Source organism: Homo sapiens, chromosome 20 (genome assembly GCF_000001405.40).
Source record: "Homo sapiens chromosome 20, GRCh38.p14 Primary Assembly".
NCBI lineage: Eukaryota > Metazoa > Chordata > Mammalia > Primates > Hominidae > Homo > Homo sapiens.
The window spans coordinates 38774123-38788162 of NC_000020.11; the positions used below are offsets into that span (position 1 = coordinate 38774123).

Sequence of the window (14040 nt, forward strand, 5' to 3'; positions counted from 1 at the left end):
TGGGACTGCTGGATCATATGGTAGTTCTATTTTTAATTTTTTGTGGAACACTCGTACTGTTTTCCATAGCAGCTGCACCATTTTCATTCCCACCATCAGTGCATGAGAGTTCCAGTTCCTCCACATCTTCACCAACTCATTATGCTGTTTTTTTTTTTTTGATAGTTTCCTCATTTACTATCTTTCATCTTTTTGATAATAACCATTCTAACTGGGGTAAGGTGATATTTCATTGTGGTTTTGATTTGCATTTCCGTGATGATTAGTGATGTGGAGCATCTCTCTGTTTGCTTATTGGCCATTTGCATGCCTTCTTTAGAGAAGTCTCTATTCATGTCATTAGCCCCTTTTTTAATTGGGTTATTTCATTTTTTGTTGAGTATAGGAGTTCTTTATATACTCTGGATATTAACCTCTTATTAGATACATGGTTTGCAAATATTTTCTCCCATTCTGTAGGTTACCTTTTCACTCTTGTTTCCTTTAATGGGCAGAAGTTAAGTTTGATATGGTCTCATTTGCCTGCTTTTGCTTTCATTGTCTGTTTTTGGTGTCATATCCAAGAAATCATTGCCAAATTCAGTGTCGTGATGCTTTTTCCCGGAGTTTTCTTCTAGGAGTTTTTCAGGTCTTATATTTAGGTTTTATCAACTACATTACGTTTTATGTTGAAGAAAAAACACTGGAATAGAATTAATGTTTAAACTGATAATAAAATTTTCTTCCCCCACAAAACAAACCACCCTGAATATAAATACTGTAAGGCCACTCTGTGTGCTTGGGAAAGTTGACTCAGAGGTGTCAGATCCTAGTGAAACGATTAGATTTTAAAGATAAAAGAAGTCCTCTCGGGCCAGGAGTGGTGGCTCATGCCTGTGATCCCAGCACTTTGGGAGGCTGAGGCAGGCAGATCACTTGAGGCCAGGAGTTTGAGACCAGCCTGGCCAACATGGCAAAGCCCCATCTCTACTAAAAATACAAAACTTAGCTGGGCTTGGTGGTGCACACTTGTAATCCCAGCTACTTGGGAGGCTGAGCCATGAGAATTGCTTGAACCCAAGAGGCCAGGGTTGCAGTGAGCCAAGATCGCACCACTGCACTCCAGCCTGGGCAACAGAGCAAGACTGTCTCAAAAAAAAAAAAAGTCTTCTCAGCCTCCATGCAGGCTTACACAAGAAAGGGAAATTAGATGGTGTCAGACTTTTTAACAGCACTAATACTAGGAAGTTAAATAAGTTGAATAATTAGAAAACAAAAATGATAAATTTGAAGAAGGATGGCAACATTTTTAAACTACTAGAAAACCTAATTAATGTAGAAAGCACAAATGCATGTAATAAATAAGGTACTAGTCATCAAAAGAAGAAATAGGTTGGGCTCAGTGACACACACCTGTAATCCTAGCGCTTTGGGAGGCCGAGGCAGGAAGATCACTTGAGTCTGGGAGTTTGAGACCAGCCTGGACAACATAGGGAGACTCCACCTGTACAAAAAAATTTAAAAATCAGCTGGGTGTGGTGTTGCATGTCTGTGGTTCCAGCTGCTCAGGAGGCTGAGGTGGGAGGATTGCTGCAGTGAGCCATAAATGTGTCACTGCACTCCAGCCCGGCCAACAAAGTGAGACCCTGTCTCAAATAAATAATCATCTATTTTTCACACACTCTGGAAATACGTGAGAAAATCTAGCTGCAATTGTCAATTTTCTGCATTCAAGCCTTTAATTTTAAAAAAGTGAATTTTCTAGGAAAATAATTCACCAAAACTGACCTTAACAGAGATATATAAAGTTCAAACAGACTTTTTTTTTTTTCCATAGATGAACTCAAGAAAATTGCCACAGAGCTGCCCCCCTCCCTCCAAAAAACTCCAGGTCCAGTTGAGTTTAATAGCTATTAGCCTTAAACACTAGATACTTCCAGTGTTCCTTAAACTTTACCAGAGCATAGGAAAAAAAAATTAAATGATTTTTATGTAGTGAGTATAATGTTGCTATCAAAATCCAGTAGGTTGTACACACACACACAAAACAATCTTGCTTAAAAATATCAATGGAGAAAACAAATTATTTGCAATTGAAATCCACCAACACGTTAAAAAATAACATCATGGCCGGGTGCAGTGGCTCATGCCTGTAATCCCAGCACTTTGGCAGGCCCAGGCTGGCAAATCACGAGGTCCAGAGATCAAGACCATCCTGGCCAACATGGTGAAACCCCGTCTCTACTAAAAATACAAAAATTAGCTGGGCGTGATGGCACATGCCTGTAGTCCCAGCTGCTTGGGAGGCTGAGGCAGGAGAATTGCTTGAACCCGGAAGGCGGAGGTTGCAGTGAGCTGAGATCGCACCACTGCACTGCAGCCTGGCGACAGAGCAAGACGCTGTCTCAAAACAAAACGAAACAAACAAAAACATCGCGACCAAATGGGTTTTATTCCAGGAAATGCAAATGTATGTGTCAAACACCAAAATCTCAGTGGCTTAACACCAAGTATATTTCTTATGCTGCATGTTCAGTAAATACCAGTATGGTGGAGTGTGGGGAGGGGGTGATGCATTGCTGTGGATAATTAATTACTCCACACCATCTTATGATCCTTCCTTCTCAACGCAAAGCAAGGAAAGAGAACATCAAGCGTTAAGTCCTGGCTCCCAAATGTGCCACCCAGAACATATCCACCACGAGTACTCAAATTTCACTGGCCAAAGCAGGTCATTTAGCCATGTTTAATTTCTTAGTATTTCATTTTTAGTTATTTAGTATTTCTATTTATTTATGACTGTATGCCCTTGTGTGTGTGTGTGTGTGTGTGTGTGTGTGTGTGTATGGTGGTGGTTCTAGGAATTACAATATATATCCTTAAAATATTACACTCTGGGGGGTCGCAGGCAAAAAAAAATTACAGTCTGCCATTAATTAATTCTACAATACTTCACATACAATGTCAGAATGCTACCATAACAGTATAACTCTGTTTCCCCTCGGTTGGTCTTTTGTGGTATTGTCATGTATTTTATCTACTATTATGTTGTGAATCCCATAACAGTATGAATTTTTTTTATGTAGTAGTCTTCTAGAGAAATGTAAAAAGATGGTCTTGGTTGGGTGTGGTGGCTCACCCCTGTGATCCCAGCACTTTGGGAGGCCAAGATGAGAGGACTGCTTGAGCTCAGGAGTTCAAGACCAACCTGGGTAACATAGCAAGACCCTGTCTCTATTAAAAAACAAACAAATGCCTGGCGTGGTGGCTCATGCCTGTAATCCCAGCACTTTGGGAGGCTGAGGCGGGCGGATCATGAGGTCAAGAAATCAAGACCATCCTGGCCAACATGGTGAAACCCCATCTCTACTAAAAATACAAAAATTAGCTGAGTGTGGTGGCACATGCCTATAGTCCCAGCTACTGAGGAGGCTGAGACAGGAGAATCTCTTGAACCCAGGAGGTGGAGGTTGCAGTGAGCCGAGATCGTGTCACTGCACTCCAGCCTGGTGACGGAGCGAGACTCCATCTAAAAAAAAAAAAAAAAAAAAAAAAAAAAAAACAAACTCTTAGCTGATGGTGGTGGTGCACGCCTGTAGTCCCAGCTACTCGGGAGGCTGAAGCGGGAGAATTGCTTGAACCTGGGAGGTCAAGGCTGCAGTGAGCCATGATTGCGCCACTGCACTCCAGCCTGGGTGACAGAGGAGCAAGACCCTGTCTCAAAAAAAAAAAAAGAAAAAAAAAGATGGTCTTCAGCACTAACCTGCAAGTTGGCCCTTTCCAGTACAGGAGAGTAGGGATGGAGGGAGGTCATTTCCTTGACGCTAGTCTCTCAGCTTGGACATTCCTCTGAGGAATGCTTAACAGGATGAGGGAGGGGGCTTCGCCTCTGGCCAGTGCCCAGCTTAAGTAGCCTTTTGGAAAAGTTCCAGAGGACATGGAGTGGGGTGGGGTTCTGCAGGCAGCCATTCCTCAGTCTACACAACCCTCTGGTTCCACAAGAATTGGGAGATGAATTTGGCTGCCTGCACTTCCCAGCCTGCATCAGTTTTTTAAATTTTTATTTATTTATTTTTTTTTTAGATGGAGTCTCGCTCTGTCACCTAGGCTGGAGTGCAGTGGTGTGATCTTGGCTCACTGCAACCTCTACCTCCTGGGTTCAAGCGATTCTCCTGCCTCAGCCTCCCGAGTAGCTTGGACTACAGGCGTGTGCCACCATGCCTGGCTAGTTTTTTGTATTTTTAGTAGAGACGGAGTTTCACCATGTTAGCCAGGATGGTCTTGATCTCCTGACCTCGTGATCCACCTGCCTCAGCCTCCCAAAGTGCTGGGATTACAGGCGTGAGCCACCGCGCCCGGCCTGCATCAGGTTTTGATGAGCACGTGGCCAGGAGTAGGGTAGTGCTGTCCAGCCGATCCCCTGCCCGGGGAACCTCCTGTGGATTGCCTGGCATTGAGGTTGATCGTATGCCCTAGCCAGGACAAATTTCTGGAAACCCTTTTGCTTTAGTCATGGGGGCAGGGCTTTACCCACTGATACTCCCCAGCTTGCAATGCTTCAGCAATAATCTGGACTGGGTTTCATCACAAGTGGTGTTAAGTCTCCAAGGCTTTACATTTGGACTATTAATAACCGTGCCCTGGTTATCAATAGAAAGGGGCACTCCAAGAGTGTGAACTAGGTCCTCGTGTTGATGGTGATTCTGCCAGCCTTTGCTACAGGCATTCCTTTAGCCATTCAGAGAAGATACACTCAAATGCTACAGTATACTCTAAGATATGAATAAAATGGACCAGGATATTTTCAGAAGGCCCCAAAGGAGAGGATGACTTGCCCTCATTTTCTTGACAACTTTTCTCACATCTGGGCCTGTGCAATAAGAAAGCTCTTACAAAACTGCTGAGACACACTGGGAAATCCAGGGTATACCGATCACATCCAGCCAGTTCTGGCACTCCTTGGTGTGTGCCAAGCTAGGGGCTATGGGAACAGGGTGAGTGGGTAGATCCTTTGATGCCACTCCAAAGCTTTCTGGGGAGCACCAAAATGACAGGAATGCAAAATCTCTGAAGGCTCTTTTCTGAATTCCAAGCTGACTCTGCAGAAGGGCCAAACTTAAAGAAGCGGCCCAGGCTGAGCGCAGTGGCTCACACCTGTAATCCTAGCACTTTGGGAGGCTGAGGTGGGTGGATCGTCTGAGGTCAGGAGTTCGAGACCAGCCTGATCAACATGGTGAAATCCCATCTCTACTAAAAAATACAAAAATTAGCCGGGCATGGTGGTGGGTGCCTGTAATTCCAGCTACTTTGGAGGCTGAGGCAGGAGAATCGCTTGAACCTGCGGGGGAGGAGGTTGCAGCGAGCTGAGATCACGTTACTTCACTCCAGCCCGTTTATAAGAGCGAAACTCCGTCTTGGGAGGCGGGGGGGGGGGGCATGTGGGAAGAAGCCACCCGAGGAGCCTGGTAGGGTGATGAAAGTGAGAGCAGAGGTGTAGCTCAGGGCCGTGCAGCACCTCGGCTTTGGCTCTTTGCAGGCTGTAGAAGCAGAATCGTAAGACTTCTCCTGGCTTGTTTCTTTCCATTTCTCGATTTGACTCCTCAGCCTGCTCTTCTGGCTCCCTGCTGTCTAATGGAATTCCAGAGCTTGACCTTGAGAATGCAGATTCTCCCGATTGACAACTTCTAGAGAAGGGAATCTCAGAAAGACAAAGGAGATGTTCCTTCTTCCGCTGCAAGAGTGGAAAAGCAGACACTCTCCTGAGAGCCTCATAAAGCTGGTGAAAGCCTGTTCTGATAAAGCACCCAGGAGATCATTCCTTCCGCCCCCTGCTCCCAGGACAGGCACTTAGGTGAGAATGTGTGACTCATCCAGTTCTGATACCTGCTGCAAATGGTATATGAAACAAAGGAATCTTTTAAGCCACCTGGGCTTCAAAGAAATGTAACTGTGTACTTTTTTTTTTTTAATCTGCTTTTAAATTGGTAACCTTGCTTAATTGCATGTTGCCCTGGTAATAACCTTGCAATTGACATCTCTTTTTAAAAAATGAAGGTCTACAATGTCTGTATTGGCCAGAAGAGCTTTGCAAGTTTCTTTGTTCATCTTTCTCCTATGACTATGATTTTCTTCGAACAAAGAGTTTGAGAGGCCTTGCTTCGTTTTAAATTAACAATACATACTTTGCATATTTGACTTGAGAATTGTGTGTATGTTATACACTACTACAAAACAAACCAATTTCAATAAAAATAAAAGCACAATCCTTAAAATCAAAGCAAAGTGAAACAATTGAACCTCATTATATATCAAGTTGGTGGTTTACTCACACGGAGAGGACTTATTTTAAGTGACTTTAATTAGGTGACTTTATTTTAAGTGACTTTCCATGGTAGTTGGAAAAAAAGAAACCACAGTAGTTGAATGTATATCTTTAGTGGGATATATTCTAAGAACAAAAAATAACCGCACAGTAAGAAATCTTACTGTTTTCAGTAATTATGTTGTTAGTAATGGCATTGGTATGATTATTCTGAAGATATAAATATGTGTGTATATATTCAAATAATGTTAACATTGTTAGCAACCAAGATTTTCAGTATAACAAGATATAAAAATATAAAATAAAAACTGAAAAATCATATAATCCTAAATTTGAATTGCACGTATCCATATGAACACATGATGTATTTTCTCTTTACAAATATTAATTAATTAGCCTAGAACAACAAACAGCCAATCAAACAGGCAAATCACCTGAGGTCAGGAGTTCAAAACCAGTCTGACCAACACAGTGAAACCCTGTCTCTACTAAAAATACAAAAAATTAGCCAGGCGTGGTAGCAGGCGCCTGTAATCCCAGCTGCTAGGGAGACTGAGGCAGGAGAATCGCTTGAACCTGGGAGGCAGAGGTTGCGGTGAGCCGAGATTACACCACTACACTCCAGTCTAGGCGACAGAGTGAGACTCCATCTCAAAAAAAACAAACAACAACAAAACAACAATGACAACAACAATAAAACCCTCAAAATTCAGGAGTCCACTTGAAGGGGCTCCCGCTGGCCCAGGAATGGGACAATTTGAGCATCTGAAAAAATAACAGTGAAAGGTTGAAACATACTAAAATCTATGAATTCATCATGGTCACCTTTGGAGAATGCTAGGGAACCAGTTCATCATTCTGAAACTAGGAAATAAAGGGCAAAAGCAGGCATAGATCTCACCTTTCTTGTAGAAACTGTACCTCATGGCAACCGAACAGATAATAAGGGAATGTTTTTCTTTGTAGAGGATTTCTAGCTAAACAAATGAAAACAGAATGATGAAATACCTACCACCATTTTCTCTTTCTTTCTTTTTTTTTTTTTTGAGACGCAGTCTGGCTCTGTCATCCAGGGTGGAGTGCAATGGTGTGATCTTGGCTCACTGCAGCCTCTGCCTCCCGAATACCACCATTTTCTAGCTCCTAATGAAATAAAGGCAAGAGACAAATTCTTCATCAATGACAGCTAAAAACCACTCGGTGAAGAGTTGATGGAAGGCTGGGCACAGTGGCTCATGCCTATAATCCCAGCACTTTAGGAGGCCGAGGCAGGTGGATCACCTGAGGTCAGGAGTTCGTGAACAGCCTGCCAACATGGTGAAACCCCGTCTATGAAAATACAAAAATTAGCTAGGCGTGGTGGCACACCCCAGTAGTCCCAGCTACTTGGGAGGCTGAGGCAGGAGAATCACTTGGAAGTTGCAGTGAGCCGAGATCGTACCACTGCACTCCAGCCTGGGTGACAGACAGAGTTGGTCTCAAACAAAAAAAAAAAAAAAAGAAAAGAAAGAAAAAGAGTTGATGGACATCTTTATAATGGATGGATATTATGTGCCTCCTGGTGTGATACAATACGACATACTGCACATCATCCATGAAGAATTCTTAGGAAAAAATTTGAACCTGAATGTGATCAAGCCACTAAATTTAACTGCCATTTTACTAGAAATTCTGGGGACAGAGAAACATATTATGAATTAGCATCCCAACAGGAAGCAGATGGGATACTCAGGTTAGGAGAATGAGATGTGAAGGCAGGGTGTAAAGATGGTGCAGGGTCCTGGGAAGGTCCTCAGAGAAGCCTTTACAATAGGAAAGGAGAGGCTACCCAAATTTGGAAGGAGAAAGAGTTGTATAGAACAGTTGTGTTGAGAGGGACACAGCTTCAGTCAAGAAGCACAGCCAAACCAAGGTGGCCTTGCCAGGAGGGAGACAGGGAAATACACGCCCCAACTGCATTGTCCTCCCTCCCTCCCACACCTGCCAGGGCTCCCTATTGGCCAAACCCATCTGAAGCCAGAGGGCAAGAGAGCGCAGCTGATGTAATTCACACATGGCAGTCTCCAAGGGCAAATTCAAAGGTCAGAGTGGAGAAGGGTAGTTGCTAAATGGGACAAACGAGTACAGTCTGTCACAAACATGATAAATAACACCACAGGGCTGCAAACAGCAAAATCCAGAATGCAGAAAACTCTCCAGGACAAATAGCATTTTCCCCCCACCAAACAAATTGCAAAGGGGGAAAAGAGAGGGAGAAGATATAAATTAAAAGAAAATTTAGGCCAGTGCGGTGGTTCACGCCTGTAATCCCAACACTTTGGGAGGCGAAGGTGGGCGGATCGCTTGAGGGCAGAAGTTTGAGACCAACCTGGACAACGTGGTGAAACCCTGTCTCTACCAAAACATACAAAAAAAAAAAAAAAACAAAAAACAAAACTAGCCAATCGTGATGATGCACACCTGTAGTCCCAGCTACTCAGGAGGATCAGATGGGTGGGTCGCTTGAACCTGGAAGGCAGAGGTTGCAGTGAGCCGAGATCATGCCACTGCACTCCAGCATGGGTGACAGATCAAGACTTGGCCTTAAAAAAAGAGAGAGAGAGAGAGAGAAAAGAAAAAAGAAAATTTAAAAGCATAACAAAAATATAAAGTGTGGACCTTGTTTGGTTCCTAATTCTAATAAGCCATGTTTGATAAAAGAAACTTCTGAGCAAATCTGGCAAATGTGGATATTTAATAATATGAAAGAATTATTGATAGTTTTTAAAGATGTGGTTGTGATTTTTGTAGTTTTATGGAGGGAGAGAGAGTGAGTGAGCTTGTCTTATAGAGATGCATATTGAAATGTTGGCAGCTGGAGTCATATTTGGGATTTGCTCCAAAATAGGCAAAGGCTTATAGATAAAACAAGAGTGAGTGACCGTGTGTTGATTGTCACTGAATATGGGGGAATAGGTACACAGGGGCTGGTTATACTTCTCTGTTTTTGTGTGTGTTTAAAATTTTCCATTAAAAAAATTAAAAAGTTGAGCCAGGCACAGTGACTCATGCCTATAATCCCAGCACTTTGGGAGGCTGAGGTGGGAGGATCCCTTGAGCCCAGGAGTTTGAGACTAGCCTGGGCAATGTAGCAAGGCCCCTGTCTCTACAAAAGCAAAAAAAATTAGTGAGGCATGGTGACCCAGCTACTCCGGAAGCTGAGGTGGGAAGATTACTTGAGCCTGGGAGATCCAGGCTGCAGTGAGCAGTGATTGTGCCACTGCCCTTTGGCCTGGGTTGCAGTGAGACTGTCTCAAAAAATAAGATAAAAAGTAATGACACTCTTGTCTAGCCTTGTTTTGTTTATCATATAGCAATATTTCTTGGATATCACTCAGTAGCAGTGCGTAGTGAGCTGCTGCTTAAAAAACAAACAAACAAACAAAAACCCAGGAGTCTCACTATTGTTTCACAGGCTGGTCTCAAACTCCTGGGCTCAAGCGATCCTCTCACCTCGGCCTCCTGAGTAGCTGGGATTACAGGTGGGGATGCTTCTTCCTTGTCTCTTTATAATGTATGTCTGTATAAATTATATGTGTCACAAACACGATAACGCCATGGACATGCAATCAGCATATCTATGACATATACATATAAATTTTACTCAAACGGTAGCATACTATGGCTTAACAATATGTCTTGAAGATCACTCCATGTCAATACAAACCAAGCTTCTGCTTTTTTCCCTTATCTTAATATTATTTTTCATGGATAATGCATTGAAAATCTACTCTCCAACCTTGGCTCTTCTTTTTTTTTTTTTGGAGATGGAGTCTCACTCTGTCACCTAAGCTGGAGTGCAGTGGCACAATCTTGGCTCCCTGCAACCTTCACCTCCCAGGTTCAAGCGATTCTCCTGTCTCAGCCTCCTGAGTAGCTGGGATTACAGGTGCCCACTACCATGCCCAGCTAATTTTTAAATTTTTTTTTAGTAGAGATGGAGTTTCACCATGTTGGCCAGGCTGGTCTCGATCTCTTGACCTCAAGTGATCCACCTGCCTCAGCCTCCCAAAGGGCTGGGTTTTCAGATGTGAGCCACTGCGCCCGGCCTCCTTGGCTCTTTTCTCTTAAGAAACGGATGAGAATTGCAAACATTTTCCTATGATGGTATTTGTCTTTTAACTTTGTTGGGGTGTTTTTCCACTCAGATTCTTTTCGTGGACTTAAATTGCTTTTGGGTTTTATGTCATACTTTAAAAGGCCTCACTCACTTTGAGATAACAAAAAAAAAATCCTACGTTTTCTTTTCACATATGTGGTTTTTTAAAAATCCTTTTTGGGCTGGGCACGGTGGCTCACGCCTGTAATCCCAGCACTTTGGGAGGCCGAGGCGGGCAGATCCCTTGAGGTGAGGAGTTCGAGACCAGCCTGGTCAATATAGTGAAACCTCGTCTCTATTAAAAATACAAAAATTAGCCAGGTGTGCTGGCGCGGGCCTGTAGTCCCAGATATTTGGGAGGCTGAGGCAGAAGAATCGCTTGAACCCGGGAGGTGGAGGTTGCAGTGAGCCAAGATCATGCCACTGTACTCTGGCCTGGGTGACAGAGCAAGATTCCATCTCAAAAAAAAAAAATCCTTTTTGGTAATACATACACACATATAATGATATAAAACATAAATGTACACCCAAACAACTGTGGCTAAATGAACACCTGCATGACCACCACCCTCTGTGGTCAAGAAATAGAATACTGCTGCCACCCTAGAAGCCTCCAGTATGATCCATCTTCCCTCATTAAAATCCACTCCTTCCTCCTTAGAAGAGACCATTGTACTGATGTCAGTGGTATTCTATTTCATGTTCCTTATCATGTTGCTACCTCATTATGCATCCCTAAACATTATTCTGTTGTTGTTGTTTTGAGACAGAGTCTTACTCTGTCAGCCAGGCTGGAGTGCAGTGGTACAATCATGAGTTTGAGGCTCACTACAGCCTCAAACTCCTGGACTCAAGTGATCCTCCTACCTTAGCCTTCTGAGTGGCCAGGGCTGCAGGCATGTGCCATCATGCCCAGCTAATTATTTTATTTTTTGTAGAGACAGGGGCCTCCTTTTATTACCTAGGTTGGTCTCAAATTCTTGGGCTCAAGCAACCCTCCTGTCTTGGCCTCCCAAAGCTCTGGGATTATAGGCATGAGCCACTGAACCTAGCCCCTAAACATTGTTTTTTGTTTGTTTGTTTGTTTGTTTTTGAGACGGAGTCTCACTCTGTTGCTCAGACTGGAGTGCAGTGATGCAATCTCTGCAACGTCTGCCTCTCGGGTTCAAGTGATTCTCCTGTCTCAGTCTCCCAAGTAGCTGGGATTACATGGGCATGCCACCATGCGCAGCTAATTTTTGTGTTTTTGTGTGTGTGTGTGTGCAGATAGGGTTTCACCATGTTGGCCAGGCTGGTCTCGAACTCCTGACCTAAGGTGATCCACCCACCTCGGCCTCCCAAAGTGCTGGGATTAGAGGTGTGAGCCACTGCACCCGGCCAACATTGTTTTTAAGATCCATTCATGTTGTGTGTAGCTGTGGTTCATTTTCATTGCTTTGTAGTATTTTATTGTATGCATGTACCATAATTTATTTATCCAGTTGGAATTTATCCTGGCAAAGATTTGCAGTAAGTCTCCAGCTGAATTTCTTTTCAGGCGACTAGCCAGTTGCACCAACAATATTTAGTGAGTAATCCGTCTTTTCTCCACTAATGTAAATGCCACTTTTATTATTTATTAAATGACCTTAAATATTGTGGTCTACTTCCAGACTTGCTCTTCTGCTCCATTCATCTTTCTATTTCTGAATTTGCAATGAACAGTTTATTATTGTCACTTTATAATACACTTTAAGATCTGGCAGAGTTTGTCTCCCGCATTTCTCTTTCTTTTTCAGAACTTTTCTTGATTTCCCTGCATGATCTTTGGAATCAGCTTGTCAAGATCCAAAATAATCCTGTTGGTATGTTTGTTTGTATCCCATTAAAATTATAGATGAAAAGATAGAAAGATGGTATCTTTTCTTCAATTGACTCCTCTAGCCAAAAATGGATATGACTTTTTCCTTTATTCAAGTCTCATGGCACATAATAGCCTTTGAAAGTTTTAGTCATATAGTTCCTGTACATTCCTTGTGAAGTAACTCATTCATTTAAACATTTGAATAGTATTCTATTATATTTCATTCCATGGTTTATTTAATCATTCTATCTTTGAATGGCATTTGAATAAATCTGTTTCCAAGTTTATTCTGTTACATATAGCACTGCAAAGAGTATCCCTGCAAAAATATGTATTTGGAAATGATGTTACTATAAATGAAGTTGATGGACCAAAGGATTTTAAAAATATAAAATAATAAGATAATAAAGGTCATGCTAATATAAAAATAAACAAGAAATTAAAGAACAGTGTGTTATTGGTCAAGTGTGGTGGCTCACACCTGTAATCCCAGCACTTTGGGAGGCTGAGGCGGGTGGATCGCTTGAGGCCAGGAGTTTGAGACCAGCCTGGCCAACATGGTGAAACCCGTCTGTACTAAAAACACAAAAAGTTAGCCAGGCATGGTGACACACACCTGTAATCCCACCTACTCAGGAGTCTGAGGCACGAGAATCACTTGAACCTGAGAGGTGGAGATTGCAGTCAGGTAAGATCGCATCACTGCACTCCAGCCTGGGTGACAGAGCAAGACTCTGTCTAAAAATATATATATAAAAAATATATAAAATATATATATATAATATATATTATATATAAAATATATGTAATATATAATATAATATATATCATATATTATATATATAGCATGCTATCATGTAAAAAAAGAATATGAGGATAAACAAAATATACCAAAATAAGGGTAAAATATGTAATATCCTTGTATTAAGTAGAGGATCATAGCAGGAAAGTAAAGTGATTATTATGGTACTATTACTATTACACTGGTCTTGACTGCAAAATCATTTCCTGCCTGTCCCCAGGCTGGAGGTCAGAAATGGCAAAGCTGCCACCATTAACTCTGTTGAGGTTCTACTTCAGGGCTTTTTTTCACTGAGGTGGACACCTGGAAAGCCTCCACTACAGGCCCATAGCCAGGCAAGGGAATGGAAGCTGCCCGAGGGCTCCAGCTGCTCACTGAGTTAACATGTGGGAGGTGGACCACAGCAACTATGTGGGGAAACCCTGTCTGCACACTGAATCCCAGCAGAATCTAGCAGAGCCAAGAGCTGAGTAACACAGAGCCCCAAGGACATCATGTGAGACCCTGGATCCAGCCTCACCTGAGGATGTTTCAGAGCAGAGTTCTCTAAGGCACAAGCTACAAGTGAGCATGGCTGTAACAGGCCCAAGGGGGCACCAGAACTGGGGAGAGGGGCTTGGTGCCTCAAATATTGACTGCTTTGGGAACGGCAGGAGTGCTTGAGCGGTGGACACCGGCAGCAGCAGCGAGGCCCCTCTAGAAGCCTAAGAAGGGCGCTGGAGCAGAAGGGGACACACAGCAGGGGATTGGTTATCTATTGCTGCATAACACCCACCCCAAAACTTAGCTGCTTAAACAACAACTATTGTATTTGCTCAGGATTCTGTGGCTCAGCAATTCATGCTGGGCTCAGCTGGGCAGTTCTTCTGCTGGTCATGCCAGAGTCACTCATATGTCTATAGTGATACGGAACTTAACAGGGGCAGGCAGTCCAAGGTGGCCTCACTCACATGTCT

General features: G+C 43.0%; 1 long non-coding RNA gene across 1 annotated transcript, besides 5 other annotated features; it reads left to right on the plus strand.

Annotated features, from left to right (window-relative positions):
• Window positions 5376-6040: an enhancer, noted in NCBI's record as "OCT4-NANOG-H3K27ac-H3K4me1 hESC enhancer chr20:37408141-37408805 (GRCh37/hg19 assembly coordinates)". NCBI's record gives its function as "activates a minimal SCP1, AML or CMV promoter by ChIP-STARR-seq in primed H9 embryonic stem cells {active_cell/tissue: H9 hESC(primed)}" and the evidence as "EXISTENCE:reporter gene assay evidence [ECO:0000049][PMID:30033119]".
• LOC124904902 (uncharacterized) lies at window positions 5376-12714 on the plus strand. The gene is made up of 2 exons (XR_007067584.1): window positions 5376-5830; window positions 12218-12714. It is a non-coding gene; the product is annotated as an uncharacterized LOC124904902 (long non-coding RNA).
• Window positions 6373-6873: an enhancer, noted in NCBI's record as "H3K27ac hESC enhancer chr20:37409138-37409638 (GRCh37/hg19 assembly coordinates)". NCBI's record gives its function as "activates a minimal SCP1, AML or CMV promoter by ChIP-STARR-seq in naive H9 embryonic stem cells {active_cell/tissue: H9 hESC(naive)}" and the evidence as "EXISTENCE:reporter gene assay evidence [ECO:0000049][PMID:30033119]".
• Window positions 6874-7374: an enhancer, noted in NCBI's record as "H3K27ac hESC enhancer chr20:37409639-37410139 (GRCh37/hg19 assembly coordinates)". NCBI's record gives its function as "activates a minimal SCP1, AML or CMV promoter by ChIP-STARR-seq in naive H9 embryonic stem cells {active_cell/tissue: H9 hESC(naive)}" and the evidence as "EXISTENCE:reporter gene assay evidence [ECO:0000049][PMID:30033119]".
• Window positions 7868-8479: an enhancer, noted in NCBI's record as "H3K27ac-H3K4me1 hESC enhancer chr20:37410633-37411244 (GRCh37/hg19 assembly coordinates)". NCBI's record gives its function as "activates a minimal SCP1, AML or CMV promoter by ChIP-STARR-seq in primed H9 embryonic stem cells {active_cell/tissue: H9 hESC(primed)}" and the evidence as "EXISTENCE:reporter gene assay evidence [ECO:0000049][PMID:30033119]".
• Window positions 8480-9089: an enhancer, noted in NCBI's record as "H3K27ac-H3K4me1 hESC enhancer chr20:37411245-37411854 (GRCh37/hg19 assembly coordinates)". NCBI's record gives its function as "activates a minimal SCP1, AML or CMV promoter by ChIP-STARR-seq in primed H9 embryonic stem cells {active_cell/tissue: H9 hESC(primed)}" and the evidence as "EXISTENCE:reporter gene assay evidence [ECO:0000049][PMID:30033119]".
• Window positions 12715-14040: the final 1326 nt, after the last annotated feature.